The 23,551-nt window shown below is 44.0% G+C and overlaps 3 annotated features.

Annotated features, from left to right (window-relative positions):
• Positions 540–1,047: an enhancer, noted in NCBI's record as "NANOG hESC enhancer chr6:45669242-45669749 (GRCh37/hg19 assembly coordinates)". NCBI's record gives its function as "activates a minimal SCP1, AML or CMV promoter by ChIP-STARR-seq in naive H9 embryonic stem cells {active_cell/tissue: H9 hESC(naive)}" and the evidence as "EXISTENCE:reporter gene assay evidence [ECO:0000049][PMID:30033119]".
• Positions 5,549–5,598: a silencer, noted in NCBI's record as "silent region_17267". NCBI's record gives its function as "represses an Ori minimal core promoter by ATAC-STARR-seq in GM12878 lymphoblastoid cells {active_cell/tissue: GM12878}" and the evidence as "EXISTENCE:reporter gene assay evidence [ECO:0000049][PMID:35858748]".
• Positions 13,767–14,061: a silencer, noted in NCBI's record as "tiled region #1586; HepG2 Repressive DNase unmatched - State 12:CtcfO". NCBI's record gives its function as "represses a minimal TATA promoter and a strong SV40 promoter by Sharpr-MPRA in HepG2 cells {active_cell/tissue: HepG2}" and the evidence as "EXISTENCE:reporter gene assay evidence [ECO:0000049][PMID:27701403]".

Below are 23,551 nucleotides of genomic sequence, written 5' to 3' on the forward strand. Positions count from 1 at the left end.
ATGTGTGGAGACAAGCCTTTGAACACAAAATTATTTGCTATCATAATTTATAAAAGGGCAGTGTTAGAAAATAAATGCTTTTCCAAGAGGGGAATGATTAAGTATGTATGTTAACTCCACTTAACAGAATACTTTGCAGGCTTTACAAAAGATATCTGCTAAGTCTGTATGATTACAAGGAAAATGCTCATGATATAACAAAAAGAAAGATGCAGAATATAAAACGCTTGCAACAAGGTTAAGAAGGGAAAATCCCTCATCTATGCATAGAGGACTGGCAGGTAAGAAATACAACAAAGTGTTAACTGAGGTTGTCTTTGGATAAGGGTATTTGAATGCCTTTGTTCATCTTTACATTTTCTTTAATGATCAATTATTGCTTTTATATTACATACACATATGCATCTATATCTATGCATAGATATAGATATATATTTTGAAAACAGAAGAATTGCATGGATTTGATCATGAAACAGGACCTGGTGCTACAGTGTGTGTGGTTAAGACCAAATTTGTTTCTTTTATTAGGAAGTAAGTGGGTGAGATCAGTGGTGTGCGCCTGCAGGTCGCATATAAGCAATGTCCTCTAGACCAGCAAAAAAGATATGTATGTGACAATATTCAGCCACTGAGACTCTTTCCCTGCATAGAGATCGGCAGATGCCATTTCTGCAGACAATAGACATTGAATTCAGTGTGAGTTCCTTGAGGTCTAGATGGCTGAGATTGTTCTAGCTCCAGGGGAACCTAGGACAAAGATGCAAAGGGTGGACTCCCTCCAGTGAGCACAGCTGCCTCCATTCTACTCAGAAAGCCTCCAAATCATCCCTGCAGGACATAGAAGCTCCAGAAATGCTCCTTAGTAGTCAGATAATAGACCTCCTGACTAAGGTAGGGTGATTCTTTCTCTTTAGGATAGAGACAGAAGAGCTTTTAAACCATACTGATTGCTTGAAGCCCTGTGTTAAAAAATATCGTGAGAAAGTCTGGGGATTTAAAATGCACACAAATGGGCCGGTTGAGGTGGCTCACGCCTGTAATCCCTGCACTTTGGGAGGCCGAGGCAGGCAGATCACCTGAGGTCGGGAGTTCAAGACCAGCCTGACCAACACGGAGAAACCCTATCTCTACTAAAAATACAAAATTAGCCAGGCATGGTGGCGCATGCCTGTAATCCCAGCTACTTGGGAGGCTGAGGCAGGAGAATCATTTGAACCTGGGAGGCAGAGGTTGCAGTGAGCTGAGATTGTGCCATTGCATTCCAGCCTGGGCAACAAAAGTGAAACTCCATCTCAAAAAAAAAAATGCACACAAACAAACACAAACACAACTCCACGTAACTGCAGTGCTGTCCGCCTTGAGTGATCAGGGATAGAAGGTGTCAGGTCATGCTGGATGTCTCCCTGAATAGACCAGCTTTTTCCTCTGGCTTCACCTGGCCTCTGAACATCCCTGACAGAGCTTTTTCCACTTGTCACTTTCAGCCCTTCTAAATATTATCACTGAGGCAAAACTGTGCAACTTGAGCCAAATCAACCTGCCCAACTCCACTCCTATGCATCCTGCAGAGCCCTGTGACCTGCTTCATTACTCGTTCATAACAGGGTGGAAGTTAAAAAAAAAAAAAGACTGCACAGTTTTCAAAATCTCCATCCCCTGGCCCTCAGACAAGTCCTTCTTTTATTTAGCACTTAGTTCAAAACCTGTGCTGTCTAGTACAGTACCCAATGGTCACATAAAGTTATTTTATTTAATTTAAATTAATTAAAATTAGATAAAATTTAAAGCTCAGTTTCTTAGCTAAACTAGCTGTACTTCAAATGTTCAAAAGTGGTAAGTACACAGGGTACATAGAACATTTCCATCATGCAGAAAGTTCTAGAAGTTCTACTGAGCTATATTACAATTTCTCTTATCTATGTAATTTATTTTAAGTTTCTCGACCCACAACAGATTAGAAATAGCAAGTTAAGGGCATAGGGAATGATGACAACAAAGAACCTGATATAAAGGGAGGAGATGAAATGATTAGAAAGCAAAACACTCATCCATTTATTCAATCATTAAACAAATGTTTATTGCACAACTACTATGTGCCAGGCAGGTCCAGGTGCTTTAGCTAAAGACAAAATCTCTGCTCTCCTGGAGTGCACTGAACCAGTAATACTTCGAGAATATTTAGTATAAGAAGCCTTGTTTTCTTCATTATCCTCTGAAGGCATCATCCTCTAACAATCTAATTCAACAATTGGTTTTTATCTTGAGTCACTAAGAATAGTTAATATGGTTTAAGAAGTCAACACGTATATACATTTTAGAAAGATTACTCACCCAGTAGCTAAAGGAGCTGGTTTCAATTACTTACACATTGGGGCTGCCTACTCTTTTTTCTTTCTACATTGGATAACTGGCATTTTATATGTAAAGAATCCAAAAAAAGTACCCAATTTCTACAAGCTCCTTTTTGCAGATGAGTTTATGTATTGACTTACTTTCTATTTCTTTTCATGTCAATATAATTTGCTTTCCAGTTCTGTCCACTGATACTGTATGACTCTGGATAAGTCATTTGAACTTTTTTATCCCTCAGTAGGAAAGTGAGAGAGAAACAGAACTAACACAGACATAATCGTGGGTGGCATAAATTTTATCAACAAGATGTCTGAGAGGGTTTTCTGAAACAAGCAAGGACCAGGTAGGATTTGATGAACCCATACAATTTCCCTTTTCCCCCACTCTCTTTCTTGTCCCCCACTCTAAACCCAGAATGAATTGTCTTCTTACCCTTCCCAACTGGTGAAAAAATGGAAGTCAAGCAGTATAAAGCTTAAATATTTGCTTAGAGAAAGAATTCAATTCTGATAGTAAAAGAATTGTGTCAAAACAGGTGAGGAAGAAATTAAAGTCTTTGGGAACACTCCAGGGCTTGGAAGACATAATTTTTCCAGGTGATGGTCGGAGTTCAGTGAAGGAAAGCAGAGACATATATGTCAACTGCTTCTAAAAAGTGTAGGTCAGAATCAGGCCAGAAACCCCTAATTTAAAAATGATGTCAAAGGCAGAGTCTAAGATCACTGATAAATGAGAGGTAGTATGATGTCGTGGGAGAAAACACAGCATTTGAGGCCAGACAAATCTCAGTGAAATTCTAGCTCCAGCACCTACTAGCTGTGACAACCTTTCTTAACTTAACCTTTGTAACTTAACCTCTCTGTGTCTTGGTTTACTTATTTGCAAAATAAAAAGGATAGTGATCATACCTACCATGCAAGACTGTTTCAAGTGTTCTATGAAAGTAATTTGTGTGAATCACCTGCCATACAATAGGTAGTTGTGTTAGTTAAGGTGACACTAGCTTTTCTAACAATTAAATGCCAAATTCCAGTGGCTAACATAATTAAAGTTTTTTTCTTGCCTATGTGATAGACCAAATGGAGAAAGCTGGAGCTTTCCTTCATGTGGTGACTCAGGGATACAGGCTTCCATCTTGCAATTTCCCTTTGTCCATCTAAATACAGAAAGCAGAGGGCTTTTCTCCCTGTGGTCACTCAGGGATTGTGGCTTTCATCTTGTGACTTCTGCATCCCCTGAAACCTCAAAGTCTCTGCTTCCAGGTGGCAAAGAGGAAGGAGAGAGTGTAGAAGCTTTAACTGTTTCTTAAAATTCCTGGCCTAGAGATGAGACTTATCTAGTTTCACTGACATTCCATTGATGAGTACTAGTTTCGTGGCCTCCCCCGAGTGCAAGAAGAGCTGGGAAATGTAGTCTTAGTGTAGCAGCCACCTTTTAGCAATAGCTTACACTCTGAAGGGGTGGCAAATGCATTTGGCCAACAGGTAGCTATTTTGCTATTATGTCCAATAAATGGTACTCATGCTTACACTCTTTGGTATGAAACACATAGTTAAGTGAGCAGTGATTTTGTTATATAACAAAATTAAGTATGCTGTAAAGTGTTCAAGGATAGAGAGAAAGTTCAAAACCCAGCTGATAAAGCTACAGGAGTAGACTAGTTTTTTTTTTTAATTATCGTACTTTAAGTTCCAGGGTACCTGTGCACAACTAGTTTTTAAGGTTCAGTAGTATTTTGGGTCGTGTTTTATTTGGTCATATATGAAACCAAAGAGTGTAATGATTTTATTAATCCACCACAAATATTTATTATACTGATCATATGCAGGACACTGGTCTAGGCATTAGGTGTGGGCTGGGAAGGGTGTACAAAGGGTGTGAGACCTGGCTCTTGCCTTCAAAGAATTTATATTCTGGTAGGGGAGGGAAGATACGCACATCCTCAAAGACTCGTAAAGACAGGCAGTTTGGGCAGTGCCCTGAGAAGTACAAAGTGCTATGGGATTTGAGAAAGGGTGGGATGGTTTCTGTCCAGCGTGATTCAGCTGCAGGAGAATATTCCAAGCACTCAGTGTCTATTTGCCCCTGGACACCACTCTACTTGCTCCATAACACCACCTAACTTTGTTTCTCAAATCTCCTCTCTGCTCCATGTCTGCTCTCCATGGCTGAGAGCCCTCCTTTTCTTTTTCAGTCTGGGTCCTTGGTTTGTCTTTCCTCTCTGGCAGGCCCTAGGTTTACAAACTCCATTTTCTGCAGTGAATCCCTTCTCCTGGCAACTCTCAAGAGCTTTGCTCCAGGGAGCTGCACTTCCTAGGTGTGGCCTTATGTCCCAGATGCCACTCAATCTCCTTGGCTCTTTTCTGTCTTGGGGTTGGAGGGAGGGACCACTTCATGAATAAAACTGCATTTCACTTAGGCCTTGAAGGATGCACAAAATTTTGTTAAGTAGAGATGAAGCTTTCATTTCTGTAATGCTTGACTCAACAAAAAGGCCCTTTGTTACCACGGATTGATTTTAATTGGAATCTCTTCAGTTTCCTCTATGTTTTTGGAAAGGCCACTGTATATCAGGCATCTTGCTGATTGCTGATTGTACATGGGATACAGAACTCCCATGATATAGGTAGGGTAGCTGGTATCACATCCATTTAATGGACGAGGGAGACTGAGGCTTGAAGAAGTCAGGTGACTTTCCTGGTGTTAATCAGCCAGTAAGTAGAATAGGCTGGATTTTTCTCTAGTTCTCTTTCACCCTAGTCCAGTGTTCTTTTCCATGTCACAAAATGCTATGGAAGTTCAAATGGACGAACTGAATTGTATCAAATTAAATTTCATTCAAAAAGACATAAGACCCCTCAAGAATATTTGCAATGTAATACGGCATTCTGAAAGACTATAAAACCTCCAGCAGTCAAAGAAATAAACCTTGCAATCACTATTTGCTGCATGCGTGAAGGACTGCATTAATGAACTAATGAGTGTATGGTGCCCTGATAGTTCCTCTAATCTGAGTGGGTAAGCAAGTCCGTACCCTGTCTATTCAGAAGCAGGTGCTGACCCTGACAGTCTAGTCTATAAGTGCAGAGGACAAGCAGTCCTCATCCCTTGCTTTTGTGATCCCCTCTGGTGAAAGTGTGCCTTGCTCAGGTTAGCTGAAACTGACATTTAATTTCAGTTCTACTATTACTCCTTCCCCTTCAGATTCTCAGGGCAGGGTGTCGAGGTGGAGGGGCCCTCCTTGTGAGGAAGCAGCAGCAGCAGATTTTGCTGATGGTTGAAGAGGGATTTAAAGAGAGGAAGGGACTTGAGAACAGAATGGTTTGATGAAACAAGAAATGGGTTGCCCAGAATACAAGGGACAACTTTGAAAACAACAGAGATGTGAAGCTAGTGGAAGGGATGGAGAGGTAGATGCAGGACAGGAAGTGGGTGCAAGGGTGAAAAGCATGTTTTGGGTGTTTATTGGGCAAAATGCTTAGAAGATTTAATAGCAATGCCGAGCAGTCATGGCTGGGGAAAGAATCCAGAGAAATGGCATCTGAAATGAAAATGATGAAGTTCACCACTATCCCAGGGCTCAGAACCTGTCCTACGTGCAGAAACATAACTCTTGCCTGCTTTGGAAAAATGCTGAATTTTTCTATTTGAGAACAAGCTGCACCTCTTTCGCCCCTGGAGGTAGGGACAGGGAGATGTGAAAGAATCTCTCTCAGTTCTAGCCATGAGCACTATTTTAAAATGCTGCTTTTCTTAAATGCCTCATATTTTGAAAGGTAACAAAATCTATGTTTGAAATTAGAAAAATAAATGAGCAGGAAAATGGTGCAGCAGGAAGAATCTGAAGAGGCCATTGAGAGATGGAGGTAGCTTTTCAGTTCTGAGCTCCCCAAGGGTGGGGCCTACCTCATTCACCTGGGGCCGCCGTCTCTGGCAAATGTCGGGAAAACAACGTACAAATGAATGACTGATGCATAAGGAAACTCACTTCTGGCTAGACTAGAGAAGTGGGAAATTGAAACAGGGCACCTGTTTCAGACAGGCTTTGTAGGGGTGAGGGTGTGAACCCAGAATGTCTCGAGGTCTGAGTTTCCTGGTTGTCTTTTCTGCCACCAGTGAGCAAAGTACAGGAGCAGTAGTAGACTTGGCAGAAAAGGTGGCAAGGAAGGTATTTGGGTGATGTGTGTATCTCTCAGGATTAATGTCAGGACGAAATGAGAACATCTACTCATGGAATGTGCATTTGTTGAGCTCCTTGTATGCACCAGGCAGTTAGGGACACAGCAGTGAACTAAATAGGCAACAATCCTTGCCTTTGTGGCACTGACATTGCAGAGGGGGCAGGCAGACAATGAATGAGCAGACAGGTAATAGCAGTGGTATATTAGATGGTGGTATGTGATGGAGAAAAACGTAGCAAGAAAGGGGCTGAGGGAGTACAGGATGGCTGTCAGAGAAGGCCCGTGGAGAAGATGACATTTAAAGCATATGATAGAGCCAGAACTGCATCGATCTGGGGCAGGAGCATTTCGTGCCCAGGGTACAGAAGGCACACAGGCCCTGTGGGGAAGCTGTCAGGTGTATTCTAGGAGCTTCAGGGAGGCTGCTGGTGTGGCTGGAGCCCGGTGAAATGGGCAGAGTGTGCTGAGGATGAGGTCAGAGAGGAGCAAACCCTTTGAGCCTTACAGGCCATGCCTGGAACTTGGGCTTTTACTGTAAGTGAGATGGAGCCTCTGGAGATGAACAGAGCTTGGACAGGATCTGGCTTAAGTTAAAAAGATCATGCCATGTGGACTTAGGTTGTATGAAAGTCTCTTAAGGTACTGGTGAGAACATAGCACTTAATAAATGTTAGCTGTCGCTATTATTAAGCTTATTAAAACATAGTGGGGAGAGGGGATCCCAGAGTGGTAAGTGGTTTCCTGTAATGCATGTTACACTTCAGCTCCACCAGCTTCTCACACATTGGTTCTGATAAAACTCAGAACCAATCAGATATCAGATGGTAAACATGCTTGGAGATTACAAGATCTTGGGCCTAAAACTAGATTAGCAGCGTCCTGATTTGGTGATGAATTGCCTCATGGATGGAATAAGCATCTATTGAGCATCTCCTACATGTCCGGTGCTGAAGCAGACACTGGTAATAAACATAGACATAAGTGGGATGGACAGAGTTCCTGCCCTCACAGGTATTATTTAATTCATACCTCCTCCTCTGGGCAATGTGTGAAACAGACATGAAACAAACAATTATGTAAACCATTATCCTGATCTAACAGTGATGAGTGAAATGAAAGATGGGTGCTGGGTGCTCTGGAATGCACTGCAGAAGGTCATCATGAAGGGCCTCTCTGAGGAAGGGACATTTAAGCTAAGACAAGAGAAAGGCGGAAGGTGTTGTGGTGGGAAAGAACCCTCTGGGAGATGGAACAACATATGCAAAGGCCCTGTGACAGGAAGGAGAAAGTGATTCCCATGTCTGGGGAGCAGAGGGCTTGGGCAGAAGCAGGGGAGCCCAAAGGGGTGGACAGGGCTGGTCAGGTAGGAGCTTTTGGCATGTGGGGATTTGGGCCTTTATTCTGAATGTAATGGGCAGTCTTAAAGGGTTTTCAACAAGGGAGTGACCTGACCAGACTTGCAATCACTCTGGCTGAAGGTGGGGGGCAGCCTGGGTGGGAATAAGCATGGACTTGGGACCTGTTGGGAGGCCCTTGCAGCACTGAAGGGGTCAAATTTCTACATGATGAAAACTGAGGTTCAATGAGCCTTCACGGTACTGACATTGCAGAAGGGGCAGGCAGACACCCCCATCTTCACTAAGGCTGTTAGCCCTTGATATAAAGACCACGGGCATTGGGCTTAACCTGGCCTAGGATCTCAATTCTGTCCCTTCCTGTTTTGTGGCTTGGATGTCTCTCAATTCTTCATCTCCTAAAATGAACAAAATTACACTTGCCACACTGGGTGGTTTGGGAGATATGGGAAAATATCACAGTTACCTTGGGGCTTAACAGCCCACTAGTGCTCTGAGAATCAAAAATTGGACCATTTCAAGGGATCTGAGTAAAAGGTGCTCAACGAATGTGAGATATAACCATTGCAAGATAAGTTTCTGCTGTCTATATAAACCTTGTTTCCAAGATTAATCAACGCTTATTTAAAAAGGAACAAATGGGCGGGCGCAGTGGCCCATGCCTATAATGCCAGCACTTTGGGAGGCCGAGGCGGATGGATCACCTGAGGTCAGGAGTTTCAGACTAGCCTGGCCAACATGGTGAAACCCATCTCTACTAGTAATACAAAAAAATTAGCTGGGCATGGTGGCGCAAGCCTGTAATCTCAGCTACTCAGGAGGCTGAGACAGGAGAATCGCTTGAACCCGGGAGGCGGAGGTTGCAGTGAGCCGAGATCGTGCCATTGCACTCCAGCCTGGGCGACAAGAGCGAAACTCCGTTTCAAAAAAAAAAAAAGGAACAAATATTATTAGCATGTTGAATAGGGAAATGATTCCTAAGAATAAGACTGGGCCCTGTATTTCAGCTGGTGTGGACTGTATGCTTATGTATTTGCGTCTATGTACTTATCATTCATTTGACAAATAATAATTCATTATCTCATGCTGCTGACGTGGTACTAGGTGTTATCTACGGGTGACACAGAGTTGGCCCTCATGTCTATTTCTTCCACAGAAGACTACAGAACTTCTGACTCAATTCCTTAGTTAGAAACCGGAGGGCGAAACTCTGGTTTTTCAGTTTCAATGGGTGTTTTAATTGTTCCTTTAAAGTGTCACATTTCATCACGTGTATCATCATCTCTTAAATTACATTATCTTGAAAGTTGCTACTCAAACTTATGCTATTCAAATTTCAAAAAAAATTTTTAAATGATGAACCTCAAGTAATTTATCCCGTGAAGTTCCAGAGGATGAAAATGTGGCTCAGAGATGATTAAAAATCAGACAGTAAAATATACACATGGATACCTCAGAATTTGTGATGTACTCCCAGGTCCACTGAGACCTGTGCACAGCATGAATCACTGGCTTCTGGTATTGAACCTAAGACATGAAGTGGGGGCAATGTGTGTCCCACTGTCCCCCATTATAACATGCCCCTCGGGCCAAATGTTCTATCCTGATGTCCCCTCACCCCTGGAAAACATGCAGTTGTCAGAAACATGATCACATAGTGAATTTGCCAGGCAAATTGTGAAATATGAGTCATGGTTCTATTTGTTCTGCAATTGTGAAAATTGCAAACTTTTTATCAAGATAAAAACTGAAACTTTGAGTGTCACCTCATGGGGGGAGCCCTGACACTCTCACGTCAGACTGTTCTCCTCACCCACCCCCACGGCTCTGGTCACGCTATGCCTCTGCCAGGGACCAACCTGCTGTTTAGTGTTCAGCACCCAGAGAGTGGCTTGCCCGGAGGCCCTTTCAAATACTGGTCACAAGCACTGCTGTTAGCCTGACCTCCAGCTTGCCTGTCAAGTAGAGGCTTGGTTGTCCTGGAGGCACTGCCTCTCTCAGCCCCCTCCCCTCCTACTGTCCAGACTCGAGTCCAGCACTCCCTCTACCCGTGTGCTCTCCATATCCCTGCCCTGTAGCCAGGGACTCCCAGTCACCACTTACCTAAGTTTCATTCTCTAAAGACCCTGGTAATTGGAAATAGATTCCTACTAATGCACTAATTTGTTACTCCTCAAGAAGTAAATGTGATCTTAAAGTGATCTTAGGTAGATAAAGTCTTAATCCACTGGTTTCCTGAAGTCCTCATCTTCCTTGGATGTACCTGAGGGTCACTATAGAAAGCTTGGAACCCTCCGCCCTCTATCAGAGCTCCAGCCAGAGCTGTTCTGATTTTATACGCCTCCTTAAAAACACTCTATACTGGGGTCACACAGTGTGATCTATGAAAGGGTGGGCTCTGGAGCCAGACCAGGCAGGATGGAAACCCAGCTCTAGCACCTACAGCTGTGTGATGTTGGGCATATCATTTAACTTCTCTGTGCCTTAATTTTGCCATCTGTAAAGTATGAACAGTAACAGCACACTGTATCTACCTTGTAGAATTGTTGGACTAAATGAGTTAAAACATCTGGCATACAGTAAATACTACTTAAGAATGCGCTAGTATCGTCTACATAGGGGCCCTCAGAGATTTTGTTTGAAAGAGGGTTTCCACTGCTTTACAAAAAGGTAAAACAAACAAAGCTCCAAACTCCCACTCCCTTCACTCAAAATATGAATAACTTACTGGAATGCCACCACCAAGGGTAAGTTTCTTGGCGCCCCTCGGATCTTACCTAAATGTGGGGCTGAGCCGGCTTCAGGTCTGCCCATGAACTGGATCAATCAACTCAAACCAGCATTGTTGTAGCTGCTGACTTAGGGAACGGAGTTAAGTGCAATATCTGAGGCACTTTATTCATTTTATTGTTCTCTAGGTTTTTAAAAGTTGTTATTATTAAGCTAATAATGTTAGGCTCTATACCTCATGAGTGCCCAGCAAGAGGCCATTGGCTCACGGTGTCAGAGGAACCATGTGAAGAAATATTTCCCAATTTTTGAAGTGAGAGGTCAGATATTAGTATCAAAGATCAGATGTTAGTATCAAATAACACTGTGGCATCTGCTTGATTAGAAATGAATGAATAAACTAGCCCACTTTTCAATTATTGGTGACAACTTTTTTATTTTTATTTTTATTTTTAGAGACAGAGTCTCATTGTGTCACCTAGGCTGGAGTGCAGTGGTGCGATCTCGGCTCACTGCAACCTCTGCCTACCGGGTTCTAGCAGTTTTCCTGCCTCGGCTTCCTAAGTAGCTGGGACTACGGGCACATGCTGCCACACCCGGCTAATTTTTTGTATTTTGATAGAGACGGGGTTTTGCCGTGTTGCCCAGGCTGGTCTCAACTCCTGAGCTCAGACAATCCACCCACCTCAGCCTCACGAAATCCCAGGATTACAGGCGTGAGCCACTGCACCCAGCCTGGTGACAACTTATTATTGGACAACATCTTGACCACTTGGGGCAGGTGTCATAGTTAATTTCTAACCAATCTTGAGGTCCTCAAACGTGGAAATGATGCTCTTCCTTTCTTTTTAAGACTTTTTTTTTATTTTCATGGACTCAAGGAAGGTACTTATTACATGACAATGTAATTCTCATTAGCAGGGGCAGCAGCGACGCTGAGTTGCGCAGCAAACACCGACTTGAGCGTGGCTGAGGATCAAGGAGGAGAACTGAAGCATGCACCAGTTGCCACCACCAGGGCAGTGTCCCACCGAACACAGGGCTATCAGCACCATGCCCCACTTGTACCCCAAGCTCCACTATGATGCTGTAAATATTCCATTGCTTGAAATGAAGGGTCATCATGGTGAGGATGAAGACAGACGCAGTCTCTTTGTGTCTGAATTTGAGTAATGGGTAGGGGGTGGGTGCTTCCACAGGGTTTTATTGCCCTTGGATCTCAGAAATATTTATTTTCAGTTGATTAATACTCTGCCATTTATACTGACCACATGGCTTCAGTTTTAGAACTCCAAAAACACAAGGGCTGTTGGGTAGAACAGGAAACAAATTTTAGGAAGTATGTATCACAGTCCCCCATGACATTTTCTTGTGGGTTAGTCTTAAGTCATACAGGCATCAGAATTATAATCCTGAGGAAATTTCTTGTAGAAAGAGAGGATTTTCTTGTATGTCTGTACCTCTACACTCAGAAGAATGTTGTGGTATTATTTTATTAGCAATGTAATGATAGCAGTTAACATCTGGCGAGTGCTGACTATATGCCAGGCATGGTGCTGAGTGCTTGCTTTTTTTTCTGAGATGGAGTCTCGTTCTGTCACCCAGGCTGGAGTGCAGTGGCGCGATCTCGGCTCACTGCAACCTCCGCCTCCCAGGTTCAAGTGATTCTTCCACCTCAGCCTCCCGAGTAGCTGGGATCACAGGCACCCGCCATCATGCCCGGCTAATTTTTGTATTTTTAGTAAAGACGGGGTTTCATAATGTTAGCCAGGCTGGTCTTGAACTCCTGACCTCAGGTAATCTGCCCACCTTGGCCACCCAAAGTGCTGGGATTATAGGGGTGAGCCACCTCACCTGGTCCCTGAGTGCTTTTACATAGATTATCTTATTTATTCCTTGCAATAAGTCTGTAAAAGTAGGTGCCATTACATTTTAGAGATGAGAAAACGGAGGTTCAGTGGTTCTAGGTGACTTGTCTGAGGTTATCTGAGTAGAAGGTGACAGGGTTGGGATTTGAACCAATGTCTGGCCCCAAAGCCTGGATGCGTCCCTTTATACACACAGGCTCTTCTAATGAAAATGGGGCATTTATTTCTGTATATACTGTGGCTACGTTCTCCAAACAGTTCGGAGCTTTAGAAAATATTTTGAGAATTCTCACTCAGATAGACTTTCCGGCAAATACAACTTATTTTGCTTGAGAATTTCCCTGTTTCTTGCACCTTTGTCTATTCAGCTTGGAGAACCAACCTTGGGGAACAAAATCTCCCTCCACCTATCACAGACATTTTCTTTGAGACAGCAGCTGAGCCACCATCCACAGCTTCACCTATCAAGACAGGTGTCTCTGTTTTCCATGAAAGGTGTGACTGCCGGAGATCTCTGTCTTCAGCATTCTCCACCCTTCCCTCCCAGTGCTGCAGAAAGCCTGGCATAGGGTCAGGCTGGTGAGGCTGGATCCAGGCCTACCTTCTTGAACTTTAAGCCGTAAGTGGGACATTTACAAGGGAAAGATCCCTTCTGTGGAATCTCACTGTGAAGTTTCAAGGGCTGCTGCCCCACGCCCACTATGGGCGCTCATAGCCAGGGCTTCTCTGCGTGTCTTACTCTCATCTCTACATCTTTCACTCTCACCGTTATCTCTGAAGAACCAAAGGGAGAAATCACAGGAGTTGGAAATTCCGATGAACCTTTTGCTCTTAGTTGTTGTGCTGAGGCTGGGTGAGTCTCATTTTTAGAAGAAGATGGTGAGAGATTAGTGACCGTGGCTGCTAATCAGCCTTCATCTGAGGAGGAGGACTGCAGAGCCCCATTTTGTCAAAATGAGAGGGAAAATAAGGCAATGAGGCATGTGAAAGGGAAATGTGTTTTTATTTCCTTAAAACCATGCTTTACTGAAAGAGGCACACTGCTTGGGTCTCAGGCGCCCGAGGTGGACTCTGAAAGCTGGCTCTGAGAAGGGAGCGGGAGGGCAGAGAAGGGGAAAACCCATCTGGGACTTTAGCGAATTTTGAGCTATTCAAAAGTTGTTGATCTTGCCAGATTCCAACTTCTGACAGCTGCTAAATATGGCACCTGAGAAAATAGCTTTGATTTTGTAATTTGGAAATGGGAAGGGAAAATTCATTAGGGTTAAATGCACAGAAAGAACACCAGCGGCTTTCCTGTGTCCATCCAGAGGCTTTTAGAGACTTATTGAGTCCTGGTACACAGAGAGTAGATGTGAGGTCCCGCAAGGACGAAAAAGACATTTCCTCCCCTCTGAGCTTGGGCACTAACAATGACAAGCTGAAGGCAAAGGCTGTTAGGAATTCGCCTCTATGCAACATCCCCCTCTACTGGATTCTTGCATGGAAAACAGCACCCTTACAGCCTCTGCTGCCCTAGAAGGTTTTCAGAGCTCTTTCTCTATGTTAACACACACTTTGGAGTCGCCAAGGCAATTTCCCCTCCCTTCTCTATTATTTCCTTGATTAAGATGAAACATTCTGTAAATGCACACACATCCAAGAAAGATAAGACACCAGAGAGAGAGGAATGAAATGATGATGGGGTCAGTGTGGAATTTTAGGACTCCAGAAGATTGGGTTGTTTACCTAGTGTGGGATTGAGGGCCAGAGAGGGGGGCCTTGCTGGAGGCACACAGCTGGTAAAAGGCAACACTTATGCTGGAACCCCACCTCTCCCGACTCCCCTTTAGTGCTCTTTCTCATGTGACAGAGTGACATGTATATTCAGAGTGATTGAACCTTGAACGTGGTTTCTGGTCATGGAAACCACAGGGCTTGTCTAAGGAGAAGGTGATCCTTCTGATTGTTTCTCTTGCAAGATCTCCTTCTCTGACCTGGGTGGACTTACTGCAGTTGCAACTGACCCCAGGGAATGGGGTCAGAAATGGTCTGGCCCCAGGTCATTGGTGATCCATAGACCATAAGTCCAGGCAGGGAGCCTGATACCATGAGAAGCACCTTCATGTCTTCCCCAGTCACAGGGCTGGGGCCTTCCCTATTAGAGTCAAGTGCATCTACAGCAGTCTGCCCAGTAGAAATTTCCACAATGGTGGAAATGAGCCATGTCTGCACTGTCTAATATGTAGCCACCAGCCACATGTGACTTCTGAGTCCTTGAAATGTGGCTAGGGTGACTGAGGAACTGAATTTTGAATTGTATTTAATTGTAATTAATTTAAATTTAAATAGTTACATGTGTCTAGTGGCTACTTGATGGACAGGACAGTTCTAGGAAAGACTTGTTGACATATATACATCACTTGGCCAATGAGACAGTAGTTTTCTTATTAGGTGCTGCTTGATAATTGGCAGGGCTGCGAGCAGAGGACAGAACCTGGGATGTGGCAGAACAGCTTGTACAAGCAGTGCTGGAGCAGGAGGAAAAACACCAAGGCTAAACTCTTGCTTCTGCCCCAGAGTAGCCGCATGAATTTGGGAAACACTTGGGACTCCATGTCTTCATCTGTAAAATGGGGAGGTGATTTGGTTCTCCACCTCTTTGCCTCAAAGGAGCCCTTTTATTATTTTTCCTCTATTGATTCTTTTTTAGACAAAAAAGCCTGTCTATGACACAAGCAACATTTACTGAAAGAGGAATTGTTGACATTTAAAATGACAAACTTGTAATCAGAATCTTTAACACCAGCTAACTAGAATGAACACAGTGAGTGGATATAATTCCATCCAAAAGCAAAGCACCTGAGGCATAATTAGCCTGTCTGGTCTCATGTGTAGCACACTCATATGCTTATGAATGGCTTTAAAAATACGAAGAATACCTCTAGGACTCCCGTTATGGCCTGCTAGGACATTTAGGGGGCTCAGGGACCCAGGTTAGGATCCAGATGAGATGATCTCTACCTTCCTTCTGGGTCTTAGAGTTATGAGTCCAAGGAGGATTTGATGGGAGGATGTGGTCAGGAGTGAACAAGTTAGTACAGCACTTTTGGGGGAATCTGGGCCTTGTTGAGGGGAGGACACTGAAATGTAGATGGGAAAACCATGCAGGAGAATCTCACCTGATTCACGCTTTTGCTTAGGGCACTGCTTGGGGGCTACTGGAAAATGTTAGAGCCATCTGGGCCAGAGATGGCATCCGGATCAGGCAGCCACCAGCTGCCAGCCACCATACCAGGCTGTTCTTCTTTCCCTCTGGGCACCACCTCCAACAGTGGGGGACAGGGCATGAGGCAAAGGGCCATTTGCCTCCCAGCATGCGACCCTCCGAGGCTGTGGAGGTGCCACAGAGAGGGTGGTGGGAGGAAACCCAGAGCAATGAAGCAGAACCTGAGAAAACTTCACACAGGAAGCTGCAAGGAAGCTCCTTCTCCCGCTCAGAGGGTCTGTGAGAGTGGAATGTTCTCTTTGAAGGATGTGCTTTCAGGCCGAGCTGACATCTGTGCAGCACTTCTGCATGCTCTGGCCTCAGTTACCTCATTGGATTCATACAGTAGTTTTCTAGGAGGGAGAAGATATTAGTCCACCTTACAGGCAAGTAAGCAAAGGACCTGGGAGGCCAAAGACCAGCATGAGATTATTTAGCTTGCAGATGGCAGCTCTGGTATTCACACCCAGGACGGTGGAGGCTCTGACCCTAGGCAGTATGCCCTGACCCTGTGATACGCTGCCTCTGATGACAGGACATGACCTGTGATGACCTCATCGCTGTTGCTCCTATTACCTGGTACCGTCTTGGGAAAGGACACCTCCTTTAACTCAAAACCAAGAATGATCTCTCCTTGGTTTTCACATCTTCTGTCCTTTACTTATTGTGGCTGGTTTATGTGTATAGGTTTTGATTTTTCAAAGATCTTTTTCACACAATCTAATTTTATTTTCTCAAGAACCCTTGTACGTAGGTGGAGCCAACCTCCTTGTTCCTACTTTACAGATGTATAAACTGAGGCCCAGAGAGATACATGACTTTGTCATTGACTACAGGGTTCGATTGACTAAGTAAAAGAAATTTTCTGGCTGGTACATTTTTGCCCTTTTGACCTCTACATCTGAAGTATCCACCTTATAATGTCAGTACCCTTCTGACACTTTTTGTTGTTGGTGGTGGTAAAAAAGAGGTCTTTATTCACTCCAGTTTTGATCATGAATCAGTGTGCTCCTAATCTCAGCAATGTTTGTAGTAAGGATAGAGGTCTTAAAGTCTTTAGATGGTTCAAAAATCTTGTGAGAACAGGATTTTCTCAGTGTTTGTGGGTGTCTGTATTATTCCATTCTTTGAGGGACCTCCGAGAGGTACATCCCTTCGAGGCCAGGTGCAAGCTTCGATATGCTGCATTAGTCATAGCAACTAATGAGCATGAAGGCGCTTTTGAACAGCAGAGCATGCTCTCAGTGTGGGGACTCTGGTTTCAATAACTTACTTTGTTTGGTCAGGCTGGGGCTTGGTCGAACATGGTGCACAGCGTTGCTTTGTACCTATGCACTTACTTATTTTTAAATAAACATTAATTGAGCATCTACTATTTGCCAAATGTTGTTTTCTGCACTTGTGTTGTCATTTTCCCTTTGAATAAGGCTCATGTTTAATTTGGGTTTTGTTTGGGGAGAGTACCTGGGCATCTGGAATAGGATTAAAATAATCATAGCCCTCTCTTTTCCCTTCTTAACTCTTCAGAATTTATTTCCCAGGGGACGGTGTTCAGTTGTTTGATTTTACAATTTATGATGATGGAGGATTTTTTTTTCTTGCATTAAATGCTTGCCAAGGAAGTGTGTTCTACAGAGGGTAGACATCAGGCTGGAATGAGAGTCTGTGGTGAGGACAGCTTGACAGGGGAGGGGCCTGCGACATTAATAAACGGAGATCATAGAGGAACAGGGGTGGGGAGCACAGGGCTTTTGTTGGAAAGATATTAATAGGGATAATGCTTACATTCTTAGTTGAAGAAAGTATTTGATCTCCTGAGCATAGCTCTGATGTCCCTTATGATATGTATTAAATGTAAAACCTCCCTCCACTCAGAAAGTCATTTGTCAAATCAAGCGGTTGGAAGTTTCTACAAAGTCCGGAGCCTCAGGAAGAAAGACAGGCATGGCTGGTCCATCAGCAGCTGTACTGAGATGGAATAGACGGGCTGGGAAGGCTCCGTAGGATGGGGAGCTTCATTACTGGAGTGTTGGCATATGGTCTGTTGGGGTCTGAACTGTATAGTTTTGGTGGACAAATGTGGGAGATGGGAAACACAATTAAACTGACATTCATAAAGTACCCATGATGTGCCAGGCATAGAGTGAGGTGAGGCACTTTTAAATCTATTTTGTTATCTAATTTGGGCGATGATCTGATCACCTGGGGTATATGATTCCTCTTTAAGGGTGGAGTGGGGTTGGGGAGAGTGGGGAAGAAAGGGAAAGAAGGGGTGGAGAAGAGCCTCAAGCTGCCCCGGGGCCCACTCTAACCTATTCAACCAGAGAAAATGAGTGACTGTAATTCAGTGGGTGGGAGAGTGCTTCTAAAGGGCCTTCTGGTCAAAACTATCTCCTCCATTGGACTAAAATTCCAAACAATTGAGCCACTGGTGAATCAGATTTTAAGCATGAGCTATAGACTCGAGGAGCCCTCTGTTTTTGTTCCTAAAATTCTCTGTGGGAGAAGAAAAGTCCCTTGGCATTAGCATGTGTTTCTTTTTCAGGTTGATAGAAAACTTGGGGGTTGGTTTCCATAGAAAGGGATGGACATTCAAAATTTTACATGGATAGACCCTGCCTCTCCTCCTTAGTACCCACATAGCAGCAAAGACCATGTCCCACCTTGAGCCTATAAATTTCCTGTGTCGTTCTATGCAGGTGAAGTCCAGCTGTCTGTCAGTCATGAAGGAAGCAGAGGAGGCTGGTTTGGCCAGGACTGTTGCCTGCCTCTGGTATGGTCCTGGGAGGTAGAGGAGAGATGGGAATGGAGGAAAAGAAGACCTTGCTCACCCACCCAACTGGGCAGTCAAGTTACTCAAAGGGAACTTTAGGAAAACCGGGCAAGAATGAGAAGAAAGCAACAAAATCAGTTGGAGCTAAAAAGTAGGTTCTTCTAAGGAAAAACAAAAGGTGGGCTGTGGATCTAGTAACTGTGATCACACATGAGGATGCAGAATAACAATCATGTCCAGGATACCTCAAGAGTTTCTTGGGTATTATGTTAAGTGCTTTCTGTGACATATGTGACTTCCTCTTCAAAACTACCATATGAAGAAGATACTGTTGTCACCCACATTTTACAATGGAGCAATCTCAGTCTGGAGGATTTTCTAGCCTCTAGAATCAAGCAAGAAATACAATTAGTTACATATTTACTGGGACGATAACATCAGAACAAATTAGTAGCTTAAGAGAACATAAATATACCTGGTATTGAGATTAGCTCAAATGTCTCTTTAAAGATATGTGGATGATCCACCATTGCAGAATAACACAATTTAAAAACCATATTATGCCAGAATCTACATCCAAATGAGTGCTGGGCTGTTAAGAAGATCTGCGCCCCCTTCACCTCCTGCCCAATGTTAACAGCATAAAAACTGGAGCTCCAGGAGGACGGTAGTTCTCACTTCCAGTGAAGGGGTGCTGGTGTGTGGATGGAAATTTGTCCTGCCTGGAAATTGTAGCTGACTTCTAATGACACCAGCACAGCTGGACATGTGAATATCCTCTGTGGTAGCAGATGGTCATCCTGGGGGAAATGGCTTCAATTTTTGGAAGTTGAGGTCCAGTGAATAAAGTCAATGCTTTTATAAACTTACCTTTGGAGGGAGAAATGACAAGGCCGATTTTCTTTTATGGTCTATAAATCAACTAGATTCCTAGAAAGAGATTCCAAAAATCTTTTGGCGGCAGCCTTGGAATAAGTGTGTATGGATTCCCAAGATGAGAGCTTTGGAGATAGTGTTCATTTGTAGGAATAAGTCCTGATGTTTCAGTAAATAATCAATTCTGTTATCTTGTATGTCTTTTTTCCCTGATTAAAATATAAGATCCTGAAGGCTGGGAGGCCAGAGTGGATGCATAGCTGAACTTTGGATAGTGGAATCATTATATGAGGTCATGTGTTCCCACCTCTGTGGGGAGCCTTCCCCATGAACAGTAATTCCATTCTCCCATGCGCTGAACAAAATCCATGGAATTAGCCTAACTCTTCTCCTCCTGCCACCCTCCATGTCCAATCTGTCAGGAAATCCTAATGATTTTCCCTTTAAAATATACCCATCATAAGACTGCTCCTCACAGTCCCACTGCTCTTATCCACGCCACCCTCCCCTCTCATCTGAGTAACTGCTGTAGCCGCTTCACTGTTGTCTCTGCCTCCACCTTTGCCTCCTGTGGCCCATTCCCAGCCCTGCAGCTGTTTGGAAAGCAGGTCATGTCACATCACTCCTCTGTCTACCCAGAACCCTGCAGTGTAGATGGTGGTCAGCAGATTAAAGGCTCGCAAAGATGTCCACAGCCTCATGCCCAGAGCCTGTGAATGTGTTATCTCACATGGCAAAAGGGACTTTTGCAGATGTGATGAACGGTATAGATCTTGAGATGGAAAAAGTATCTTGGGTGGGTCCAACACAACCTAGGGTGACATGTCTTGGGGACATGAGTCCCTGGGAGCAGAGACCCTTTCCAGGCTGAGGTCAGAGAAGTTGGGTTGTGGGGGTGGAAGAATAATTAAAGAGTTGTGAAGTGAGGTGGTCTTGACCCTTCATTGCTGGCCTTGAAAATGGAGAAAGGGAACCAAGGTCCAAAGGATGCAGTCAGCCTCTGGGAGCTGGAAAAGGCAGGGAAAGGGTTTCTCGAGAGGCTCCAGCAAGGGACACAACCCTGCCGACACCCTGATTTTAACACAGTAAGACCCGTGTTAGACGTTTCCCCTCCAGAACTGTAAGATATTAAATTTGTGTTGTTTTCAGCCACTAAGCATGTGTGTTTATAGCTTTGTTACAGCAGCATTAGGAAACTGATAGAATTTCTCATCCCACTTAAGTTAGTTCCAAAGGTTTGATCACAGCCTCCAAGGCCCTATGTGATCCAGCCCCCATTACCTCTCTGACTTCGCCTCTTTCTAGGCCCCCTCTTGTTTACCCTGCTTGGGGCAAACGATCTCCATGCTCTTTCCCTGCACACACCAAGAGGGCTCTCGTTTCAGGCCTCTATTCTTGCAGTTTCCTCAACCTGGGGTGCGTTTCCCATGTGGCATCCTTCCTCTCCCTCTGTTCAAAGCTCTAATAGGGCAGTCCAGGGGCCTTCCGCAGTGCCCTTAGCTATGACAGCACCCTCTGCTGGCTGGCATTTCCACCCTCTCTTACCCTACTTCTTCCTCTTCATAGTGCTTCCTGGCACCTGACACACAAACAGACACGCACACACATATTTCTATGTTTGTTGGCTTGTTTATTGTCTGTCATCACCCATTAGAAAGTAAGCTCTAGAGGCCGGGTGTGGCAGCTCATGCCTATAATCCCAGCACTTTGGGAGGCTGAAGCAAGTGGATCACTTTGAGGTCAGGAGATCGAGACCAGCCTGGCCAACATGGTGAAACTTTCTCTCCACTAAAAATACAAAAATTAGCTGGGTGTGGTGGCGCACGCCTGTAGTCCCAGTTACTCCGGAAGCTGAGGCACGAGAGTCCTTTAAACCAGGGAGGTGGAGGTTGCAGTGAGCTGAGATCGCGCCACTGCACTCCAGCCTGGGTGACAGAGTAAGAACTTGTCAAAAAAAAAAAAATAATAATAATCAAGAAAGTAAGTTTTAGAAAGACAGGAATTTTCACCTGATTTTTATCTCTGATATGTTATCGATGCTTAGAATATGGCACGTAGCAGCTGCTCAATAAACACTTACTGTATGCATGAAGGAAAAGTGGTTAACAAGACATTAATTGTCACTTGCTATAAACAAACCCTTTGTGATAAAATATTGATCATTCCTTAATTTGGCTGAGCCTAAAATTAGCCCTCAATAATAAATTCCCTGAACAGGCAAATCTTTTTTTTTAACAATTTTAGACTATGTTGTACACTAGCTGTTTGCATGCAAAGCCCAGAAATAGCATAATTTTATTACCTCTGTTCCTGCAAGCTGCCTGGGTGGCAACTTCTGCTTAGCAACACAGAGCTAGGGTTCCAGGACAGCTTCACCTCACTGGCCTGGTGACGCTGGGCAAAGCACTTTCCTCTGGGCCTTTGTTTCCTCCTGGGATGGGGGCTGGACTAGATAATGATTCCTGGACTTCCTCCACCTCTATAAGTCTCAGCGCCCACTGATTTAATAAATGCCTGGCTCATTCCTGGTGGCTAACTATAAGAAGGTTTAGACACCATTTCTTTTGGTGTCTTTGAGAGACAAATGCTACTTTATGCTCTGCCCTGGAAGCACTCCACATTCCTGAGGGTGTGGCTTCTCTCCAGAAGGGAGCACAGGTGGAGTGTGGGTGTGTTTTAGCCAGTGTTATTGCTGGGGAGACAGGAGAAGAGACATTCAAGGTGAGGGAAGAGAAAACCAGTTAGAGAGGGAGCAGGGGAGAGAAACAGGTCATGACACATGAAAAATTCCTAAGCTCTTAGGGAGAAAAAATGTCGAATCTGGCTCAAGGATGCTCCTGGCAGGCATACTGAAGGAGGTGAGTGGCTGAGTTAGGAAGAAGTAGGTCTTGAGCGTGGCTTTTGAATTGACTTCTTTAGATAACAGTTTGGCAATATCTAGTAAAGCCGAAGAGATGTATGCACAATGACCCAGCAGCTCCACTTTGCTGTGGGCTGAATGGTGTCTCCCACAATATTCATATGTTGAAGCCCCTCGTCATCTCTCCACCATTGATGGTATTTGGACATGGGACCTTTGGGAGATAATTAGGTTTAGATTAGGTCATAAGGGTGGGGCCTTCATTATGGGATTAGTGCCCTTATAAAAGAGACACCAAAGGCCAGGCATGGTGGCTGATGCCTGTAATCCCAGCACTTTGGGAAGCTGAGGTGGGCAGATCATGGGGTCAGGAAATCAAGACCATCCTGGCCAACATGGTAAAACCCCGTCTCTACTAAAAATACAAAAAATTAGCTGGGTGTGGTGGCACATGCCTGTAATCCCAGCTACTCAGGAGGCTGAGGCACGAGAATCACTTGAACCCAAGTGGCAGAGGTTGCAGTGAGTCTAGATCGTGCCACTGCACTGCAGCCTGGGCGACAGAGCAAGACTCCATCTCAATAAAAAAAAAAAAAAAAAAAGAGAGACACCAGGGAGCTTGCTGTTTCTCTTTCCATCATATGAGGATAGGTAGACAAGGAGGCTGCCTATCAGCCAGGACGAGGGCCCTCACCAGGAAGCAGCTATGCCCACACCTTGATTTTAGACTTCTAGCCCCCAGGACTGTTAGAAAATAAATTTGTGTTGTTTAAGCCACCCAGTCTGTATTCAGTTATGGCAGCCCAAGCTGACTAAGGGACACTCTTGGTATTTATACCCTTGAGCAACTCTTGCATGTGTGCACCAAGGGATCAGAATGCTTATAGCACCATCATTGTAGCAAAAAGTGGGAACAAACTAAATGTCCATCAATGGTAAAAAAAAAAAAAAAAAAAAAAAAAAAAACACTGAATAAATAGTGGTACATTCATATAGTAGAATACTATACAGCAGTAAAAAGGAATGAATTCCAGCCCATCAACACAGATGAAACTCCCAAGTTGCAGAAGAGTATATGTAATGTGAACTCATTTCTATGAGATTCAGAATCATATAAAACTTAAAAATATATTATCACACATATGTGTATATGTGTATATGTACATAGATAGTAAGATTATTGAGAAAAAAGCAAGGTGATAAAAATCCCATAAAATTCAGGAAAGTGTTTACTCTGGAGAAGAGGTGAAGGGAATGAGAACTGGGAGGGCACACAGGATTTAAAAGCAATTATAGTGGCTATGTGTTA

The sequence above is a fragment of the Homo sapiens genome, chromosome 6, assembly GCF_000001405.40.
Source record: "Homo sapiens chromosome 6, GRCh38.p14 Primary Assembly".
In the NCBI taxonomy this organism is placed as follows: domain Eukaryota; kingdom Metazoa; phylum Chordata; class Mammalia; order Primates; family Hominidae; genus Homo; species Homo sapiens.